The sequence below is a fragment of the Homo sapiens genome, chromosome 3, assembly GCF_000001405.40.
Source record: "Homo sapiens chromosome 3, GRCh38.p14 Primary Assembly".
Classification (NCBI taxonomy): Eukaryota; Metazoa; Chordata; class Mammalia; order Primates; family Hominidae; genus Homo; species Homo sapiens.
In genome coordinates, this window is record NC_000003.12 from 10,623,997 (window position 1) to 10,644,872 (window position 20,876).

General features: G+C 46.6%; 1 protein-coding gene and 1 long non-coding RNA gene across 6 annotated transcripts in view, besides 1 other annotated feature; both read right to left on the minus strand.

Annotated features, from left to right (window-relative positions):
* Positions 1-20,876, minus strand: part of ATP2B2 (ATPase plasma membrane Ca2+ transporting 2) — a 384,094-nt gene that overhangs the window by 299,974 nt on the left and 63,244 nt on the right. The gene's annotated exons all lie outside the window — the stretch shown is intronic.
* ATP2B2-IT2 (ATP2B2 intronic transcript 2) lies at positions 2,019-2,811 on the minus strand. Its single transcript, NR_046766.1, has 2 exons — positions 2,770-2,811; positions 2,019-2,489 (listed from the first exon to the last, which is right to left on the minus strand). It is a non-coding gene; the product is annotated as an ATP2B2 intronic transcript 2 (long non-coding RNA).
* Positions 5,260-5,759: an enhancer, noted in NCBI's record as "H3K4me1 hESC enhancer chr3:10670941-10671440 (GRCh37/hg19 assembly coordinates)". NCBI's record gives its function as "activates a minimal SCP1, AML or CMV promoter by ChIP-STARR-seq in naive H9 embryonic stem cells {active_cell/tissue: H9 hESC(naive)}" and the evidence as "EXISTENCE:reporter gene assay evidence [ECO:0000049][PMID:30033119]".

A 20,876-nucleotide genomic window follows, 5' to 3' on the forward strand; every position in this document is an offset into this window, starting at 1 on the left:
TAGGGTCACTCAGAGTGATCTCTGGGGAGCACTAGTCTTTCAAGAAGCTTCCTGTAGCTCCCATCCCCCTTGTAGATTTCACAAGGCAATGACTAAGGCTCTGATAAGTCCTGCATCATAGAAACCAGCTTAGTTTGGTTTGACCCAGTATTTCCCATATTAACTTGACCTTGAAAACTTTTTTTGGAATAAACTAGCATTCCTTAGAATATACTTTGGGGAATGGTGGCCTCAAAGATCTCTCAGGTACCTTCCTGCTCTGTCATTCAGAGATTTAGTAAGTCTAACGTGTGGAATTTCACCCCCTCAGTAACTTTTCCAAAATGTCTTTCCTTTATTTCTGGCCGAGATATGAGGCCCCTCTGCCTCTTCCAGCTCTCAGGACAGGTGCTATGTCTGGGTCTCCATCACAAGAATCCCTGTGTTGCATTGGTGGGTGTGTCTCTGCCTGTGGTGGCCATACGCTCTTGAAGGAGGGATTGTGCCTGGACACTGGTGTGTCCCAGGGGTTGACAATCTCAGCGCCTGAAATGTCACTGTGTGCTCAATCAATGTTTTTGAACACAGGGGTGAGGTTTTAAGTATTTAGCAAGCAGCACGGCTTTGTCATGTGCCAAGGGGGACACTAGCTATAAATAACCAACAGGGCTTTCCTGACCCTGCTTGTCAGTCAAACATCAGCCCTGGTGGAATGAATGAATGCATGAATGAATGAGTACGAATGCATGAATGAATGCATGAATGAATGAGTTGTAAGACCCATATAAGAGGTTGTAACTATTAACTAAAGAGGAAAAGCACTTTCTGAGGAAAAGCACTTTCTAAGGCAAAGCCCAATGTTGTGTTTTTTAAATGTTTTCCTTTTTCTGGACTTTTCTGGCTTGGCTGTTCAGATGTGGGGGTGGGGGCTTGGTGGTGCAAAGATACCCGACCCCCACCATGGCACCAGGCTGGAGCCAAGGCCAGATGGGAAAGCGGGCCTTTCTGTGTCCTTAACAGAGCTGGCGGCAGCTTTGGTATTTCAAATGTCCTTCTGAAATCTGAATCCAAAATGGAACAATTTTTCGAGTAAATAATACCATTGATGTCAGTGTTGCTGCAGGAGGTTCAGCAGGCCCCAGAAACTCAGAGGTGAGGACGTGGTATTCTGGCTACACAAGGTCTCTGGCTGCACGAGGCCACCTGCCTTGCAGGGGAATGAACGGTCTGTGGGTACTTAAGGCATTGGCCTAGCTAAGAGACACATTTTCTTTTTCCTGATTATACTTGATAGTGCCCCAGGGACATTCAAAAATGCCATACCTTGGGACCCTATGCTGTCATGGGCTTCGGGGGCCTGGGTCAAGAGTGAGAAGGTGAGGGGTGGTGGAGCCAGGGGGAGGAGTCTTGCAGCTGCAGGGGAGATAAGAACGGGTCAGGGCCTTCTCTGAGTGATGGGCTGCCCCTGGCTCCCGCTGAACTACTGAATGGGATGGCTTCAGATTCCCATATTGGTTTCCTACTCCGCCAGGATTTGACGCAGATACTCCCCGGTTTGAGTTACAGAATCCGGATCATGGCTTCCTGACCCTTGGCTTCTTGGGCGGTTTGTGGAGGAGGGGGAGGTGTTGAGTTTTCAAGAGGGGCCGGGCCCAGAGTGTATTCAGAAGGCTTGGAGGAGAGTGGCCAGGATGCAGCCAGGGCTACCCCTCTGTGGTGGGAGTGGTGCCCCCACACTCAGGGACCCTTCAGCAGGGACCCCCTCCCATTGCCACCCAAGGATGGGAGGCACACTCTGGGACACCTCTCCAAGGAGAAAGTCTGAGTTTAGTGCGCGTATTGTATGTTTAACACCTCCCTGACGCTTGCTAAATTCTCTCTTAAACAAGGAGAGCAGACCTCCACTGGTAGGATGCAGTATCCACCCAGGATTTAATAGCATCAGCAGTCTGCCTTCTTTTTCTAAAGTTTTTTAAAATTGTTACTTTCTATTTATGACAGCTGTTACCATTTTTTTCCCATTTATGGTAGCAATAAAGTTTCACTCTAAAATAAGTTTATTTTGGTTGAAAAAAAGTGAGCTCATTTGAATAAAGATTTTCAGTACTTTTTAGTACAGGTGTTCTGATCTCCAGGTGTGGAGGGAGGGAAAGAAACAACTGGAGTTTGGGAAACTCTCATCTAGTCCAACCTCCCCACAGCAGAGATGGGTACACTGAGTCCCAGAAGAGAGAGGCATTGCCCAAGCACACACACCTCGTTATAAAAGACTGAGACAGGGTAAAGGGCTCAGGGTTGGGGACTCCGGCCTTTTTCCACTTTGCCATCTCTTCTTTGTGAGGCCAGGATGTGAATGTCTCTCTTGGTGTGATCCTCACAAGCAGGGGGAAATGTGGGCTCATAGATCTGCTGCTGCCAGGGTCCTGGGGGATCTGCAGGGGCTGGAACTGAGTGAGCCTTTTCATCTCTACCCCACAGAGCCAGTCACAGAATTGATGCTTAGTGAGAACCTGGTGAAAGGATAGATGGATGAATGGATGGCTAGAAAGAAAAGTGGATATATGGAGATACAGATGGAGAGAGAAGGGGATGGATGGATGGATGGATGGATGGATGGATGGATGGATGGATGGGTGGATGGATGGATGGACTGGTGGATGAATTGGTAGTTAGAGAGGCTGATAAATGAATAGATGGAGAAAAGGATGAGTGAATAAATGGATGAATGGAGATGTCAATGAATAAATAATTTGGCTGATGACTTAGGATTCTCCCTGTCCCATTACCTACCCAAGGTTATTTTCATTCCTTTAGAGAGCTAGCAGAAAGTTCTCTATGAGAAAAAGAATTAATGGTGATATTTCAGTTACCTTGATAGACTGGTAGTGAGACACACACACACACACACACACACACACACACACACACACACACACACACACTTTTCATTTACCAATGAGACACTGAGGCAAACATAAATGACACTGCCCAGGAGTCCAGGGCCTGGGCTTCTCATTTTGCTTTTGAAACTCACTCCCCAGACTCGGATGAGTTGTCTCCCTTCTCTGGGCCTCCATTTCCCCATGTGTAAAACAAGAGTGGGTGAGTCAACTAATTCTCACCCTCCCAGCATCCTGTGGCTCCTTTAAGGCCTGCCAGATGCCAAAGCTTCCCCATGCCCCACAGTGTGGATGGCAGGTTCTGAATCTGTCAGATTGACTGGGCTTCTCTAAGAGGCGGGTGCTTTCCTGCAAGGAGATGTGCCAGAGCCAGCCAGACAAGCAAGTGGTCCCCGGGGGCAGCATCAGCATGGGCTCCATCTCGCTCTGCCTTTGGGACCAGCTTATGGAAAGGAGAGAATATTGGAAAGACTGGTGACATGAGGTCAAGGCCTCAGTACCCTAAGGGATGCCTCCCTTCATATATAAAACTGTAATATGGAGGCCTGGACAAACAAAGATGGGAGGACAGGGCAGGGGCAGGAGGGAGAGGCTCCTGGGTTAGCCAGTCCTGGGTTCAGATCCTGCTCCTGCCACTTCTTAGCTATGTGACCCTGGGCCAGTTCTCCCAGCCTCTCTGAGCCTCATCATCCTCCAAAATGTGAGAAAAATGACCTCTCCCCCTCGCTGGATCCTTGTGCAAGGTCGGGTGTAATAGATGCTAGCTTACTGTCCTTCCAGTCGGTGAACCGCAAGGGAAGAGCCTGGATCTTCTTCATTACGAATTTCTCCACTTACTAAATGTTTATTGAGCACCTACCATGTGCCAGGCCCTCTCCCCTGCTCTGGGAATGTGGTGGTGAGCTAAGGTAGACCCAGTGTCTGACCTCGTGGCCTTCACAGTCTGATGGCCGTTTATCAAATGGTCACTTATATAAGTAGGAAATGTCACCTGAGATAGGTTCTGTAAAAAAGGTGGGGTGGAGGAGGGGCTACATCATGGGGCCCACTTTGTGTGATGATCCTGGGCCAGGGTCATCAGGGAGGCGACTCAAGCTGAGACCTGAAGCTATGCAGGTGGGGAGCAGGTACAGGTGTTGGGGGCAAGGGAGAGGCTGGGCAATGCAAAGGCCTATTGCGGGATGGGCGTGGCACATTCCGGGACCAGCAGGGAAGCCAGTGTGGCTGGAGCAGGGGGCGGGGACCTGCATGGCCTCACAGGAAGCTAGAGACATGGCAGAGGCCCGACAACCCAGGGCCTCAGGGCCCATGGCCAGGGCTTTGGACTTTCTCCTGAGAAAAATGGGGAGTCATTAACAGATGTACAGTGGAAGGGTGAGAAGTCTGGCCGCTGTGGGTAGAGAGTGGATGCAGGACTCCCAGAGGGAGGCTGAGAGCAGTGAGGTGGCCATGCCACCATCCAGGCAAGAGGCAATGGTGGCCAGACTGGGTGGTGGACACAGAGTGAACAGCAGCCAGGAGCAGCCCTCCTCCAAGCTCTGGCGAATGATTAACGTGCAGGGAAGAGATGCCTGTGGAGTCCTCTAGGACATCCTCTGCCTCCTTTCGCAGCTCTCTCCTAATGCCCTAAAGCTCAACAACAGCCCTACACCCGGAGGCAGGCCTCAACGCAGGACATGTAGTAGGGCGTCCATGCAATAGTGAAAGTGATGGCATTCACAATTCCGACCCATGGACTTCACTGTTTACAATCTCCTTTCACAGCCTTTACCATAGTTGCTCCTCATAGCAACTGCCACGGTGGGAGACCCCAAAACCAACCTCTTTCCTGCATCCCTTTGGAAGCAGAAAGGCAGTCACCACGGTAGGGACTGTGGTTATACAGTTGATGCTGGTTATTTCTGGTAGTTCTGCTCTATAAAGTCACTGTGGGTGCTGAATTGTCAAGTACTGAACCTTTGCTCCTAGGAAATACAGGGTCAGGTTCCTGGGAACTTCTGGTCACAACATTTTCACCAACTGATCAGTATATAACCTTGTTTTAAGTATTGTTTGTTTGTTTTTGTTTGTTTAAAGATACCTTATTTAATATCTATCGTTGGCTCATTAACGTTGGGCTCCCGGCCAACGGCACCATAACTCACGCCTGGATGAAGCTGCCTAACACACGGTTTTCTCCGTAGGGCACAGCCGGGCCTTCTGGGCTGAGGAACACAAAACAGCACGGCAGCACCACGCTTCGGGGCCATTTCAAACAGCAAAACCACCAACAGAAAGCACACAGATGGGGAAATATGCGGTACTGCACAGACTGCAGAAGGCACCCCTGCTTATGGGACGAGCTTGAAGCAGGAAGGCAGAGCGTCACCTGGCTCGACCTCCGCTGGGAACGCGCTGCGGGCAACTGCCATTTTCCACCTCTGCACACGTCTACAAATCACCGCAAAAGCACCATGAGTATTGATCTGGGTATATACATTATCTGGGTACATACATTATCTGGGTAAATACATTTTAAGGAGGAGGCAAACTCGCACATATGGACTCCACAAAGAAGGAGGATGTGTTGATCATTCATTTGTTGATAGGGCACATTTCCCGCCGAGGGCCTTCCGTGTGCCACATGCCTCTCCGGTGCTTGGGAGACCACAGGCGTCGTCTCAGCCGATCCTCACCTGCCCTGTGGGTAGAGGCTGTTGTTTTTCAGAGGCAGAGGCATAGAGGTTTGGTTGCAGGTGGAGGGTCCCACAGCTGGGAAGTGGCCGAGTGGGGATGAAACCCAGGGATCCTTCCTCCAGAGTCCAGCTCCACTGCCCAAGCTTCACCTGCATGCGCTCATTCTAAAAGCTGTTTTCACACCAAATCTCCGCAAGCCCTCTTTATTTCCCACTTCCTGCCAAGTAAGCAGTTCAGCTCACAAACTATATTAATCTCTGGCATAAATTCATTTAAACAAAATATTGCCAAGCAACGCAAAAGCAGAAATCCTCTTACAACCCACATGGGTATCGATGCTGTGCGTGTGGAAGGGCTGAGCCTCTTAGTGTCTGATTGTAAACACACCCAAATCTGTGACAAAGACTGGGCAAAGCCAGTGGAGAAGCCATCAGGACAAACCCCTTATCCTCGGGGACAGACTGACCTCTCACTGTCCGTCCAAGGCTGGGAGTGTGGGGCGTTGCTCTTCGCCTGCTGATTTGGCTGAGTCTCCCCAATCCTCACAGACAGCAGCAGGCAACAGTTAAACACGGCCACCTTTGAGTGGTAACACAATTTCATTTTAAAATTTTTTATTTTTAACTTTTAAGTTCAGGAGTACATGTGCATGTTTGTTACATAGGTAGACTTGTGCCATGGGGGTTTGTTGTACAGATTATTTCATCACTTAAGTATTAAGCCCAGTACCCATTAGTTACTTTTCCTGATGCTCTCCCTCTTCCCACCTTCCACCCACCAAGAGGTCCCAGTGTCTGTTGTTCCCCTCTACAGGTCCATGTGTTCTCATCATTTGGCTCCCATTTATAAGTGAGAACATGTACATGCGGTATTTGATTTTCTATTCCTGCATTAGTTTGCTGAGTATAATGGCTTCCAGCTCCATCCATGTCCCTGCAAAGGACATGATCTTGTTCTTTTTTATGGCTTCATAGTATTCCATGGTGTATATGTACCACATTTTCTTTATCCAGTCTACCATTGATGGGCATTTAGGTTGATTCCATGTCTTTGCTATTGGGTAACACAGCTTTATGATCCTGCATATTTAATTTTCCAGAGCCCCAGTTTCCTCATCTGTAAAATGGCTCAGGTGAAGTTATTGTTATTAATACTCTGCATTTATACTGCACTTAAAACTTTATAAAGCACTTTCACACCCAGTGGTTGACTCCTTGTTTCTCCAAACTGAGAGGTAGGTAGTGCTATTAGCCCAATTTGGCAATGAGGAAAGCAAGGCTAAGTTTGTGGCGGGGGGGTGGGGGGCGGTGAGCACACAGCCAGTGGGAGGCAGGGCTGTGATTTGAACCCATGTCTTTGGTTTCTCGATGGCACAGTCTTTCAACTACTTCCTCGGGTAGAGAAAGAATTATTTCTTCTTTTGGTGGATCAATTCCAAATTGGAAAATGTGTTTCAGAATAGAAGGGAGTAGTTATGAGCACAGACCCCGAGCCACACAACTTGGTTTGCAGCCCAGCTGCGTGTCCTGGAGCAAGTTACTTACTCTGTGTGTTTCAATTTCTTTATCTGTAAATCTGTAAAGTATCATCTACCTGGGAGGGTGGTAACAAGGTTTAAACGAGTCAGTATTTGTAAAGTGTTTTGTACAGGATCTGGCACTTAGTAAAATGCTACTTAAATACCTAGGCATAAATCAGAAGAAAAAACATTTGCAGAATTTGTTGTTGCTCAACACTTTTTATATCCGAATGTGGCTGAACTACATGTTGGTTTGTTGCAATTAACATTACTGTTAATAGCCAAGTGATAGGTCCATCTTTCCTTTAGGATAAACATTATTAGCCCATTTTACAGATGAGGAATCCTGAGGCTCAAAGAGGTGACATGACTTGCTCAAGGTCACACAGTTGGCAAGTGGCAGAGCAAGGCCTCCAATTGAGCTCATTCAGCCTGTGCTATTAATCAAGCTGCCACCCCTCTAATCAGTGGCATTCAAGCTACTTGAGGTCCAGGCTTTGGGAAGGGAGATCTTTGCAAGGGGGCTACTGTGGACATGGTGGGACAGACCATATAAAGTGGCCCTCACTCCCAATCCCAGGCTGGCCCTGCACAAGTCCTGGCAGCCTGGAAGACAGACTTGGGTTCCATACAATGGGCTCCTCCTCCCTTAGAAAGGAGGCCAGCGTCCCCTACATGCTAAGAAAGAAAGATCAGAAATGCTTCCATATCAAATACAGCATCAGGATTAAAATCAGAGCAACATTTGGAAAGTGCCAGAAGATTTAACATAGCTTGCTGCTAATTTCCCAGTTTTATTTCTTATAAAAGAGGTTTCAGGAGGGCTATCTTTACCCAAAGTGAGTTGCTACCAAAGATGAACTATTGTTGCACATCCAGAAGAGAGAATGGGCTTTGAACTTAATGTGAAGCAGGTCCCGAGGTCCTCAGCCTGGACTGGGACCCTCAGGTTCTAGGCTTGGCTTGACTGCTATCTCTGTGTGACTTTAGAAAAAATTTTCCCTTCTCTGTGCCTGAGGAGCAGTGGGGCAGGAGCCATGGGCTGAATCCAGCCTGCAGATGGTTTTTTGTGGTGGGCTTGGAGAGAGTTTTAAATGCTAGGAAAATGACATATAAAAGTGTAGATTTCTGTACTTTCTTAAAAAATGGGAATACCAGGTTCCTGGATCTCACACTCCCTATAAGATTAACAACTCTGGTGCTGGGTGTGACTACTCCCATAGAGAGGCCGCAGTCTCCACCACTCCCAGCTGCTCGTCTCCCCGTTTTCACGCAGCATGACATCAGCATGGCCCTGGAGACATTTGAGTTTGCCACCCCGGGGCAGGCCAGTATCCTCTATGGGGCCTTTACGTGTTACAGTTACTGTTTTCAGGAATGTCCCTACACTGTATGTGTTTGTTCTAAGGCTCAGTGAAGTCAGGGATCTTACACAGGGATCCTGGCACACAGTAGGTGCGTCACAAATTTCTGGTGAAACGCTCTGAGACAAAGTTAATGACTGTGGCAAGCTGGAGTAAACATTGGAGGAGGAGTTGGCAGGGCTTAGCATCGAGCTCTGGCCTTGCCACAAAGGGACACTGGGCATGGGTGGGTCCTTTCCCCTACCCTGGGTCTTTCTCTTAGCATCTAAAGAGGATGAGCCAGCTCTGCCAGGTCCTCTGCAGGTGGCTCTGGGGACACAGCCCTGCACAGGGTCGGCCACTGAGCAAGTCCTGGCTGTGTCCCCGCAATGTTACTGGGCCTCTTTGTGGTGACAGCCCCGGAATAGTGAGGCCCAGTGGAACTGCTGCTTATCCCTGTTCCCCTGGTGGCTGTCCTGCTCTCCTCCTCTCACCCTGACTGGCTGGAGGGCACAGCCCTGCCATAAGGGCATCTGAGGACACTCAAATGGAGGGGGGCACATCTCTGTGTGACTTCTGACCAGGCCCTCAGACAGCCTTGCTGAGCCAGGGCTCCCTCAACATGAAGCTGATAAAAAGTAAGGAGATGCAGGGGCTGGCTGGGAACAGGGGCCCTGAGCCATGTGGGCCTGGGAGTGGAATCCTTGCTCTTCCACCTCCCAGCTGTGTGACCTTGGATGAGTGACTTGACCTCTCTGAGTTTCTCTCCCTTCATCAAGAAAATGAGAATTCTAATGGCTGTCTTATAGAATCGCTGTGGGGGTTAAATGAGTTAACACATATGAGTGCTTCCATGAATGCTATTTCTCCCACCCTGCCTCCGCTTCCAAAAGGTTTCCACACCAGGGTTGCCATCCACTGATGCAATAACAGCAGACAGGATGCCCTCCATCCTGGATTTGCCGCTCCTTCCCAGAAACAATCTGTTTCTCTTAGAAGTCTCACCCCACTGGAGAACTGTTAATAATGTTTCATTTTTTTTAAGTTAACAAGTCTTCATGTATTAATCAACAGGGACCAAGAAGGGCATCTATTAGTCACTAACACTTTAGTATGAATTTCTTCACATCAAATGCCTTCTTCTCTGATGGTAATACATGGGGATAGAAATTTTAATGAAGGAAGGCCATGATATTGAAGCACTAGGCCCTTCACAAGGGAGAACAGTATGCAAGAAAAACTGAAAACCTGCCAGGGGAGGTAGACTAACTTAACTTTTAATATACCAGCACTTTCTGAAATAATAGCTCTGAGCAACAAAGCTTAGGTAAGCCTGCACCCTTGGGCACAAGATCCTCAGTCCAGTTTCCATTCTATAGTTGAGGCAGGGCAGCCTGTATTGGCTGTCCCCCCAACAGTTATTCTCCTCCCCATTCTCCATGCTGCCAAGACATAACAGAGACAAGAAATGCCTGATACTCACTTTCCTAGATTCCTTCCCAGCTAAGGGTGGCCATCTGACCCATTTTAGCCATTAAGACTTCCGCTCAAAGGATCCCAGGTAAGAATGCCCCACCGCCCAACCCGATCAAGAGAGAGAGAGATGCACAAGGAGAACCCTTCTTCCTTGCCGCCTTTCTGCCTAACTTTGGACGCTTCCCTGTGAGGAGGTGGGGCTTGAACCCATGGCAGCCATTTTGCAACCATGAGGCTGACACAATGAGATGGCGACTGAGTTCCTTTCTGAATCAACCCAGGAACCTCCCACTACCAGGTGCTTATTACTTTATTACTTTCAATCACATGTTCTGTTATTTACAGGCAAAGTGCTCCTAAGTGATGCACAAGGCATCTGAGGCTACGTGACTTGTTTACGGCAATCTCACTGTCAGTTGGTGGCAGCTGCATGGTGAGACCCTGGTTTCCATGGTTCCAATATCTGCCATAGCACCATATCCCAAGGTGACCCCACTGGGGGCCGTGTCCAATTCAGCCTTGGAGACATCCCCAGGGGTGGCCCAAACAACTTCTCCACTAGGAAAACACAGCTTCCATGGCCTCTCACAGATGCCCCAAGCCAGTCCCTGACTCCAGCCAACTGAACAATCTCCCTGATTCCAAAAATAGCCCCAGGATCTTCTCTGTGGCCTTGAGAAAACACAATTTTGGGGTCGCTGTGACATACAGAAAATATAAACCACATCTTTGGGAGCCTCCAGTCATAGGCTTTGAGGGCTGAGCCCAGTACAAGTCATTTGAGTCAGTCCCCTGCCTCCAGCAGGGTGACCTGTCTTCTCCACAGAAGAGTGCATGAATGCCTTCTGAACCTTGACCCCATGACAAGTCACCAGGAAGGACCTTTACTCCCCTAAAGGAGCTCCCCTGTGAGCCTCCTGGCAGCCAGAACTCCACCATTAGCATGCGTGTCCTCTGCCAAAATACAAATCTCCTCTATTCCTAACTATGAGCTTCAGAGAACTTTCTTGAGGGGCAGGTTTGGTGGGGAAGTCCTGTTATGTGGAACCAGGGCTTTTGCTCAAAGGATCAGAGGGTTGGGGTGGGTGTGTCAGGGAGACACAACAGCGTATGGGATTGGTTGTTCCTACGTGATAGAAGAAAGAGCCTTCCAACACTCGCAGGACCCCGAGATAAATGTCCCTGGGAATTGGAATGGTATCACTGGCCTCTCTGTGGGAGACAATACGGAGCAGGAGGTACTGTGAGGATATGGAAAGTGTCACTACTCAGCTCAAGGTTGCCTGAGCTTCCAATTTTCAAGAGAAGTTGGAAATCCAGGTACTTCCATGGCATCTCTCAATTTGGGGATGTTGGCAACTAATTCCAGTTTAAAACCCATAACATTCAACATAGTCACGGGATTTGCCTGAAGCCCCGGGTTTGGAGTCTCTGGTTGAGAGTTCCAGTGGTTAGGAATGTTGCACCCCAAGTAATCAGAAAACAGCTCTAAAAGCCTCCTGCATTTCCCTTCCCTCCTCCAGTGACAGACTGAGGACACCAGGCAACATGACTTTCCAGCTCTTAGGTGCCTACAGCGGTGAAATTTCTCCATCCTGCTTACGTGCCAGAGACTCTAAAGCCCATCCTGTTCCCCTCTCCCTCTCCAGTGTTCTGAGCCCTCCAGATGGCAGGGGGAGACAAGAATCAGAAGCAGCTGCCTAGAATGATCTGCCACAATTTGGCCCTAGTGGAAAATTCCACTAGCACCTCCCAGGTAGCATTTTGCACGCGACAAGGACGCAGCATCCTCAGGCCTCCTTCCATACAGCCCTGTGCCTGCCTGACCAGGATTGTGCCCTCTCAGTCATTCTCATCAATCCCTGCCAGCTTTGCACTGACCAGGCTGGGCTGGAGTCAGCAAATGATCCCCTGGTGGGTATTTCATAAAGCACTCCCTGGCCTTAGCTCAAAGAGATTCCTGCTGGCAAGGGAGGCTGCAGTGGCGGCTGCAAGTGTCACTCCCAGGCCTTCCTGCTGAGCCTCTCAGGGATGAGCCTCCAGGCAGAGGGCCCCCTGGACCTACCCAAATGGATGCCCAGGGCCCTAAATTCTGCACAAGTGCTCAGGGATGCAAACTCTGCCATTTGGCAGCCTGGAGACCTCTTACACTTAAACTTCTAAGAGGCGGATGAAAGCCTCTGCCTGCCGACCCCACAGGGGTCAAGATGTGGATAAGACTGGCACGTGATGTGCTATTCCAATGTAAAGGCCAGTCTCTTCCTGCAGCCCATGAGCATTCTCCCAGCATCAACTCCCCTGCTTTTGCCAATAATGACATGCCGCTTCACTCACCCAAGCACTCCTGCCTCAGAGTGCTAGGGACCTGCAGACAGAAATGCAAGGTGACAGTAGGGCAGGCTGTGTCATTTCCCAGGAGATGCACAGCCTCTCCTCTTGGGACTTGTCTTGAAAGGCTGGCTTCATACTCAAACCTCCTTCCTGGGCTGCAGGAGGCTAGGAGATTGGGCTCACTCAGGCCAAGGGGGCTGGATGTCTAAGACCCCAGGGAGATTAGGAAGAACTTCTAGAAAGAGGAATTGTTCTAACGATCAAACTGTTTCATTGTTTCCCTGATTTAAACTGCTTGGGAAACTTCTGTTTCCAGCCAAGAAGGAGCGACAGAGACCAGATTTGCCCTCTCACCTGCAAAAAATGAAAAAAATGAGCAAAATATACAAAACAACAGTTTGTTTGCACGATGCTGGACATCAGACAACAATGGTCAATGATAACTAGAGATGAAAAACAAAATAGGTAAGTCAGTGATTGCCCCAAACACTGCCTTGAGAGGGTTTCAAGGCCATGGTTCAAACTGGGGGGTACCCAGGTGGAGCCCGGTGGACTCTGAGTTGAGGAGATGGAGCTAAGAGTCCAGGACAGAGCATCAGAGGGGAAAGAGCTGCAAAGAGCTACAGAGAGAACTCTGGAGACCTGCAGAGGGTCACTCTTGAGTATTCAGCTAAGTGCTAATCAGGGCCTGTGTGTGAGAAACTTACCCAAGTCCAGGGAAGGAACCACTGGAAATAATTAGTGGGAGCAAGGCCTGGCAGTCAGACAGGGCTGGAAATAGTGCCTATTGCCATTAGCCAGACTGGGACACCTCAAGATTCATGGACGTTGAGTTGAGTATTCAGAAGGGTCTTGCCTCAGCAGTGGGGAACAATTAACACTAGACTTAGCACTGCTCTATCCCTATCTAACAAGTATTAAAAACAAGACCCAATAGGATCAAACTGTCTCCAAGTATCTTAACTATGTCCCAGATGTAGCTCAAGAATATCGATAAGATTACAAAAATATCTAGTACCCAATAAGGTAAAATTCACAGTGTCTGATATCCAATAAAAACTTACCAGGTATGCAAAGAATCAGGAAATTACAATCAAAGTGAAAAGATAAATGAATCAATAAAAACTGACTCAGAACTGAATCAGATGTTAGAATTAGCAGACCAGGGCATTGTAACAGTTATTATAACTATATTCCACATGTTCAAAAAGTTAAGACATAGAAGATATAACAAAACCACAAACCAACCTTCTAGAGATGAAAACTATGATGTCTGAAATGAAAAAGACACTGGATGGGCTCAATAGCAGATTAGACACTGCAGAAGGAAAGATTAGTGAACTTGAAGATAGCAATAGAAACTACCCAAAATGAAATACAGAGAGAAGAGAGAATAAGAAACTGAAAAGAGTATCAGTGAGCTGTGGGGCAGCTTTAAGTGGCCAACCACATATGCAACTGGAGTCCTCAGAGGAGAAGAGAAAGGAGAGGCAGTGCAGAAACAAACATTTGAGAAATAATGGCTGAAAATTTTCCAAATTTGATAAGAACTATAAACACACAGGCCTAAGAAGCTCAAAGAACCCCAAGCACAAGAAACATGAAGAAAGCAACACCAAGGCACATCAAAATCAAATTGTGGAAAACAAGTGGGAAGGAGAAAATCTTAGAAGCAGCCAGAAAAAAAAAAGCATTGTAACAGAAGAACAAAGATAATGATGACAGATTTTTTCACTAGAAGCAATGCAAGTGAGAAGACAGTGGGGCAACATCTTTAGATGAAAAGAAAAAAGAAGAAACACACTGTATACGTACCAGTGAAAATATCTCTCAAAATCAAGGTAAAATAAAAACATTTTTAGACATAAAAAGCTGAAAGAATTCATCACCAACAGAACTGTACTATAAGAAACGTTAAAGCAAGTCTTTCAGACAAAAGGAAAATAACAGATGGAAATACAGCTCCTCATAAGAAAGGAAGAGTATTTAGCAACTATGTAGGCAAATATATAGGATTTAAAAAACATTTAAAATGTTAAAAAAGATAATGCTGCCTACACAAAAATGACAACAAAGAAGTATGGTGTTTAAAATACATGCAAAAGTCAAATGTATGACAATAACAGCATAAAGGTTGAGGAGGAAAAATTGAAGTATACTTTTGTAAGGCATACTGCATGTGAAGTGGTATAATATTACTTGAAGGTAGACTGTGATAAGTTAAAAAAAACCACTAAAATAACAAAATACAGAATTAGAGATAATAAGCTAACAAAGGAAATAAAATAATATAAAGATATCCAATTAATCCCAAAGACAACAGGAAATAGGGAAAAAGTGCACAAAAACACAGGAGACAAATAGCAAGATGATAGATTTAAAGCTAACCATATCTATGATCCCAATAAATGTAAGTAGTCTAAACTTCCCAATTAAAAGGCAGAGATTGTCAGATTGGATTAAAAAGCAAAGTACAACTCTATGTTGTCTATAAGAAATGTGCTTCAAATATAAAGACACAAATAAGTTGAAAGTAAAATGATGGAAAAAGATATGCTATGCTAACATAATCAAAAGCTGGAGTGGCTACATTTATATCAAAGTAGATTTCAGAGCAAAGAATATTAGCAGGGATAAAGAAGGTAATTTCAAAATGCTAAGGAAGTCCATTCATAAAGTGGAGATAGCAATCCTAAATGATTAAGCATCTAATAAGGCAGCTTAAAATGCATGACGCAAATATTGATGGAAAACAAGAGAACTAGAGAAATTCACAATCATCGTTGGAGATTTCAATACTTCTCCCTCAATAATTGATAGAACAAGGGACAGAACTATTGGGGTAAACGTTTGCAACTTTAGGCAAAGTTGGGCAAATATTCGTTATGTACATCACCAAAAGCACCATCCATAAAAGAACAAATAGATAAATTGGGCTTCATCAAAATTTAAAACTTCTGCTCTCGGAAAGACACTATTAAGAAAATGAAAAGTCACCAAAAGCCCAGCAGAATTCACTCCAGATGGCTCCAATGAGGGACTTTAATGCAGGCATGGGGTTATGGGAAGAATATTGTTCATTCTGGCTACTATAACAAAATACAATTAAGTGGGTAGCTTATAGGCAATAGAAATGTATTTCTCACAGTTCTTAAGGCTGAGAAGTCCAAGGTCAAGGTGCCAGCAGATTTGGAGTCTGGAGAGGGCCTCAGACACTGCCTTCTCACTGTATCCTCAAATGGTGGGAGAGACTGGCTGGTTCTCTGGAGTCTCTTTTATAGAATCACTAATCCCTATCATGAGGGCTTCTCCCTCAAGACCTAATCACCTCCCCAAGGCCCCACCTCCTAATACCAGAACCTTGATGGATGGGACTTCAACATGGGAATTTTGAGGGGTCACAAACATTCAGACCCTAGCAGATATCAAGGCACCCAGAGACTAGTGACTGGGTGCGGAGTTGTTGCCACACCTAGGCCTGAAGGGACAAGGAGGAGAAAGAGTGTCAGTGGAGGCCGGTGACTGCTGGAACCATGGCAGAGGCCTCAAATCAGAAAGGGGGTGAGGAAGAAATGCCTGACCTTTCTCTCTCCTGCCACCTTCTAGTCTCCTGCTGATGTCTCCCATTGCTTAAACTCGAGCTAAGGCTGGAGGGCAGAAGTGCTCAGGGGTGCAGTCCCTAGAGATCAGCATCCCTGGGCACAGAGCAAGGTGAAGAGGGGAGAATGGCTCTGAGTACTGACAGAGGGGGCCGTACATCCAGGCTTTCTTGGGTACTATTGGTGTTTTTGCACTGAAAGTCTAGACTTTTCCCAGGAGACCTTTTAGGCTCAGGCAAATTAGGATGGTTGGCCACCCCAGTGTGGTAGTGAATGGGAATCAGCCAGCACTGGGTGATGTTGTTATTCCCCTTGTACTGACGAGGAGATTGAGGTCTGAGAGGCTGAGCTACTCATCCACAGGACAAGGAAGCAGGATTTGAACCGATGTCTATCTAAGGTGCTCTTTCACCCTACTGGACTTGCTCTGAAGGTAGGGAATGATTGGGGAACTACGTCAGAGGTCAGGACAGAAAGGACAGGGGTTTCCAGGGGACAGACAGACACAAGTGGTCCAAAGGAAGGTGAAGACAGCACAGCACCTCTCTAAATCGGCCTCTTCCTTCTCTGTCAAGGAGAATCATTTTCAGGCTGCAAATACTGCAGAGGGGGCACTGGAGGCAACAAGGGCAAGGCACTGGCTTGGGAACTCTTGGTTTCTCTAGGGGGCTTGTTGTTTTGTGGCCACTGAGATGAATGACATCCTGGAGAAGTGCAGGCATTGTGATGTGATCTCAGGGATCTGAGACCTGGGCGAGGCCAGAAGGCAGGAGAAGGCAGTTACTTTTACTGGGATTCCCAGAAAGCTTCTGGAGGAGGAGGGCCCTTGTAATAAGGAAAGAGTGTGGGGAAGGCTGTGATGTCCTCACCCCAGCCCCCATTCCCCACCCCATTCCCCATTGCTGCCTCCTGCCTGCTTTCCTAGGGCTCTCCAGGCAGACAAGAGTAACACGGAGGCATGGTGTTTGAACATTCAAGGTCTCTCCTGATGTTTTGGAGGAAATGTTGTGGAAAGGAAGGCCAGATCATAGTACAGAGGGATTCAGAGTGGTTGGATGATCAAATGAATTGGAAGTGTTATCCCAGAGGGGCGTCTCTGATAGCATGCCACGTGGCTCTGTCCTCAGAGCCCCTTCAACATGGCCATCAGTGATGTGGAGGACAATGTGAATGGATTCCTGACCAACAGTGGGGGTGTGTGACCCCAGGCAGGAGGGATTGGGGTACACCCAGGATGACTAGCAATTGAACTCAGGGAAACTAACAACCTTGGGACAACAATTGAATTGGAAGGAAACACACAGAGGACCAGAAATGGAACAGGATACACTACAGCAGGGGTGCAGGTAGAAGATGGGGCAGCATAGCTTTTGTAGACAACTATTTGCTCAGAAGAGCCTAAGGTAGGATGCTGTAGCCAAGAAAACTAATCCCACCTGGAACCAGCTGACTAGAGGAGTAGTGTCTAGACTGGGGATTGCAAACTCAGGCTATCCAGGAGACAAGTTGATGACAAGTGAGAGGGCTGAGTGGGGACTGCTGCAAATGGAGAGTCTCAAGTCTCATCTCACATGGACAGCTGACCCTCAGCCCTAGCCAAGGGTGGCCCCGTATATGAGGGCCCAAGTCCCTAAATTTTCCAATTTTTAAAAAAGAAGCTGGAAATCAAAATTCAACTCTCTGATTTTTAAATACTAAATATTTTTTCTAGTTGTTACTGTTGTTTTCATCTGCTTTTGGTCAAAGAGAAAACATCCAGGGGCCAGATCTCGCCTTTAAGATGCCAGTTGGCAATGTCTGGTCTAGAACAAGAATGGAGATTATTCTCTTTCTGGTTGCTCAGCTCTAACTTGGATGCAGCTGAGGGTTCATCTCTGGGAGGGAGATGTGCTGTGAAAGGAAGGAGTTCTGAGGGACCGGGAAAGGAGGGCATGGAGATGTTCCCGGGGAGAAGCGAAGTCTAAAAGTGTAGGAGAGAAACAGATGAGCCACTGTGTCTGGTTGACTCATCTACCCATCTATTCATCCAACCATCCACCTACCCACTCATTTACCTACCCACCCATCCATCCATTCACCCATCCATCCATCATCCACCCATCCATCCATTCATACATAATAAAACCATTCACTCACTCACCCATCCACTCATCCACCCACACACTCATCCACCCATCCACCCATCCACCCATCCACCCATTCATCCATCATTCACCCCTCCACCCATTCATCCTTCCATCCCTCATCCACCCCTCCACCCATCCCTTACTATACTGTTGTAGTTAAGAGCATGGACTCTGGAGCAAGACTGCTTAGGAGTGAATCTGGCTTTGTCACTTCCAGGTTGTATAAACTTGGGCAAAGTAGTCAACTTCCCTGAGCCTCAATTTCCTCATCTATAAAATAGGGAGGATGAAAGTAGGGTTTCGAGGATTAGAACAGTCTATTCATGTACAGCACTTTGAACAGTACCTGGCGTGTTGCAAGTGCATCATATAGGGGAGCTATACTTGGCCATTAGTGTTGACCCAAGAGTCATTTACAGAGTCCCAGCCAGGGGCTAGGCACTGTATTGGGTGCTGGGTCATGGATAAAGCAGGCACAGTCACTGGCCTCAGGAGCCTATAGTCTCTTGGAAGAAACAGAGCAGCAACCAGATAACTTTACAATCTCACCCTGTAGAACAAAAAAGTCACTGTGTACATGTACACCCACACACGTACACACAATGTCTGGCCTGTGTAAAACCCATCAGAGCTCTGTGCTCACATATCATCAAAATCATCCATTTCTATGTTTAAAAAACACATGATTTTTCATGACCCATTCACCTGGAAATAATCACAGGTATGCATAGAGATTTAGCTAAAAAAAAAAAAAAGGTACGGCATGAAACAATGCCCGTGGATAATCTGCTTTGGGTCCCTGCCATGGTGGGCTGGATGTTTCATATGTGTGACCACAGAGGATTCCTAAGCCCCACAATAGGGTAGGGAAGTAGCTCTGGCCCCCCAGCCCTGAGCTCAGCACCCCCTGCTTCCTCCCCATACACTGAGGGAGTCTACCAAAGGGGTGTGCTCGCCTGGTGCCCAGGTCTTGGTCTCTAATTAATCATTTTCCTCTAACAGGAATCAGAGATCCTGGGAGAAATGGTTGACAGCAGGACTGGGGCAGGCCAGGTTCAGGATGAGCCAGGAACATCTTGTTATGCCGGAAAGTCAAGGAGATGCTTAAATACGCACTCACACAACAACAACAACAACAACAACAGCAAGGCAAAGATGAGGCATGTCACAAGGACGCAAACGCCAGCTTGTAAGGACTCCCAGTGGCCAAATCTGGGATGATGTGAGCACCAAAATAATTAATACGGTAATTAACTATAAGTCTCTGGGGAACAAAACCCTGAATTCATGAGTTCACATAGAAGAGTGGATGCATCTGTGGATCCATGGGAGAGAACGGAGAGCTCTTGCTTGAAGGAGCATGCAGAGGCCTGTTTGATAAACGTGGAATGCTGGAGTTGCAAAATCAGCAATCATAGTAAAGATGGATCAAGCAAGAATAATCAATGAAGGCCAAGCCTAGGGGAAACTTTGTGGAGAAGCAGCATTATTTACCTAGTCTTCAAGCATCTCCCCACAGATTGGGGAGAAAATAATAATGATGCAGTGGAGAAATTAAATGACACCTTGTCCGGATGGTCAAAATTCCCATCTCCATTGTGGGGCACATGGCATCACATGCCTGGGAAAGACAGCACCACCAAGGTGGCATTCCAGCTAAGAACACGTAACTGGAAGTTAATCAAGAGGAAACAGACAAACCCCAAATAAGGAACATTCTATTAAAAAGCACAGGGATTATATTCTTCAAAAAATTTCAGTGTCATAAAAGGCAAAGAAAGGCTGGGCAGATGTTCCAAATTAAAGGAGGCTTAAGAGATATGACAACCAAATGCAGTATCTGATCCTAGACTGGATCCTGTGCTGGAGGAAAAAAAAATGGGTCAATTGACAAAGTTGACAAAATAAGGGCATCAGATTAGATCAAAGTATACATCAGACACCCAAAGCAAAAGCAACAAAAAGGAAATAGATAAATTGGACTTCATTAAAATAAAGCACTTTCATTCATGAAAGGACATTGTCAAGAAAGTGAAAAGACAACCTACAGAATGGGAGAACAGGCTTGCAGATCATTGATCTGATAAGAGTCTAGTATCCAGAATACAGAAAAAACTAATACAACTCAACAATAAAAAGGCAAACAACCCAATTTAAAAATGGGCAAAGGGCTTGAACAGACATTTCCCCGAAGAATATATACAAATAACCAGCAAACACATGAAAATATACTCAACAACTTCACCATCAGGAACATGCAAATCAAAACCACAATGAGATCACACCCACTAGAGTGGCTGTAATAAGTTAAGGAGAAAAGTTTTGGCAAGGGTGTGGAGAAATTGGAACCCTTGTACGTTGTTGGTGGGAATAGAAAATGGTAGCTGCTAAGGAAAACAGTTTGGCAGTTCCTTAAAAAGTTAAACATGGAATCATTATCTGACTCAGCAATTCCACTGCTAGGTATATGCCAGAAAGAATTGAAAACAGGGACTCAAACAAATATAGATACACATATGTTCACAACAGCGCTGTTCACAAAAGTCAAAAGGTGGAAGCAACCCGAATGTTCATCAAATGATGAATGGATAAACAAAATGTGATGTGTACATGCAATGGAATATTATTCGACCATGAAAAGGAATGAAGTACTAATACATGCTCCACCTAAATGCTAAATGAAAAAGGGCCAGACACAAAAGGCTGCATATTCCATGATTCTATTTATATGCAATGTCTAGAATCAATAAGTCCGCAGAGACAGAATGAGGATTGGTGGTTGCCAGGAGCTGGAGGGAGAAGACATGGGGATAAACTGGTTAATGCAGGTGGGTTTTCTTTTGGGGTGATGGAAATGTTTTGGAACTAGATAGAAGTGGTGGCTGCACAACAATGTGAAAGTACTAATTGCCACTGAATTATTTCCT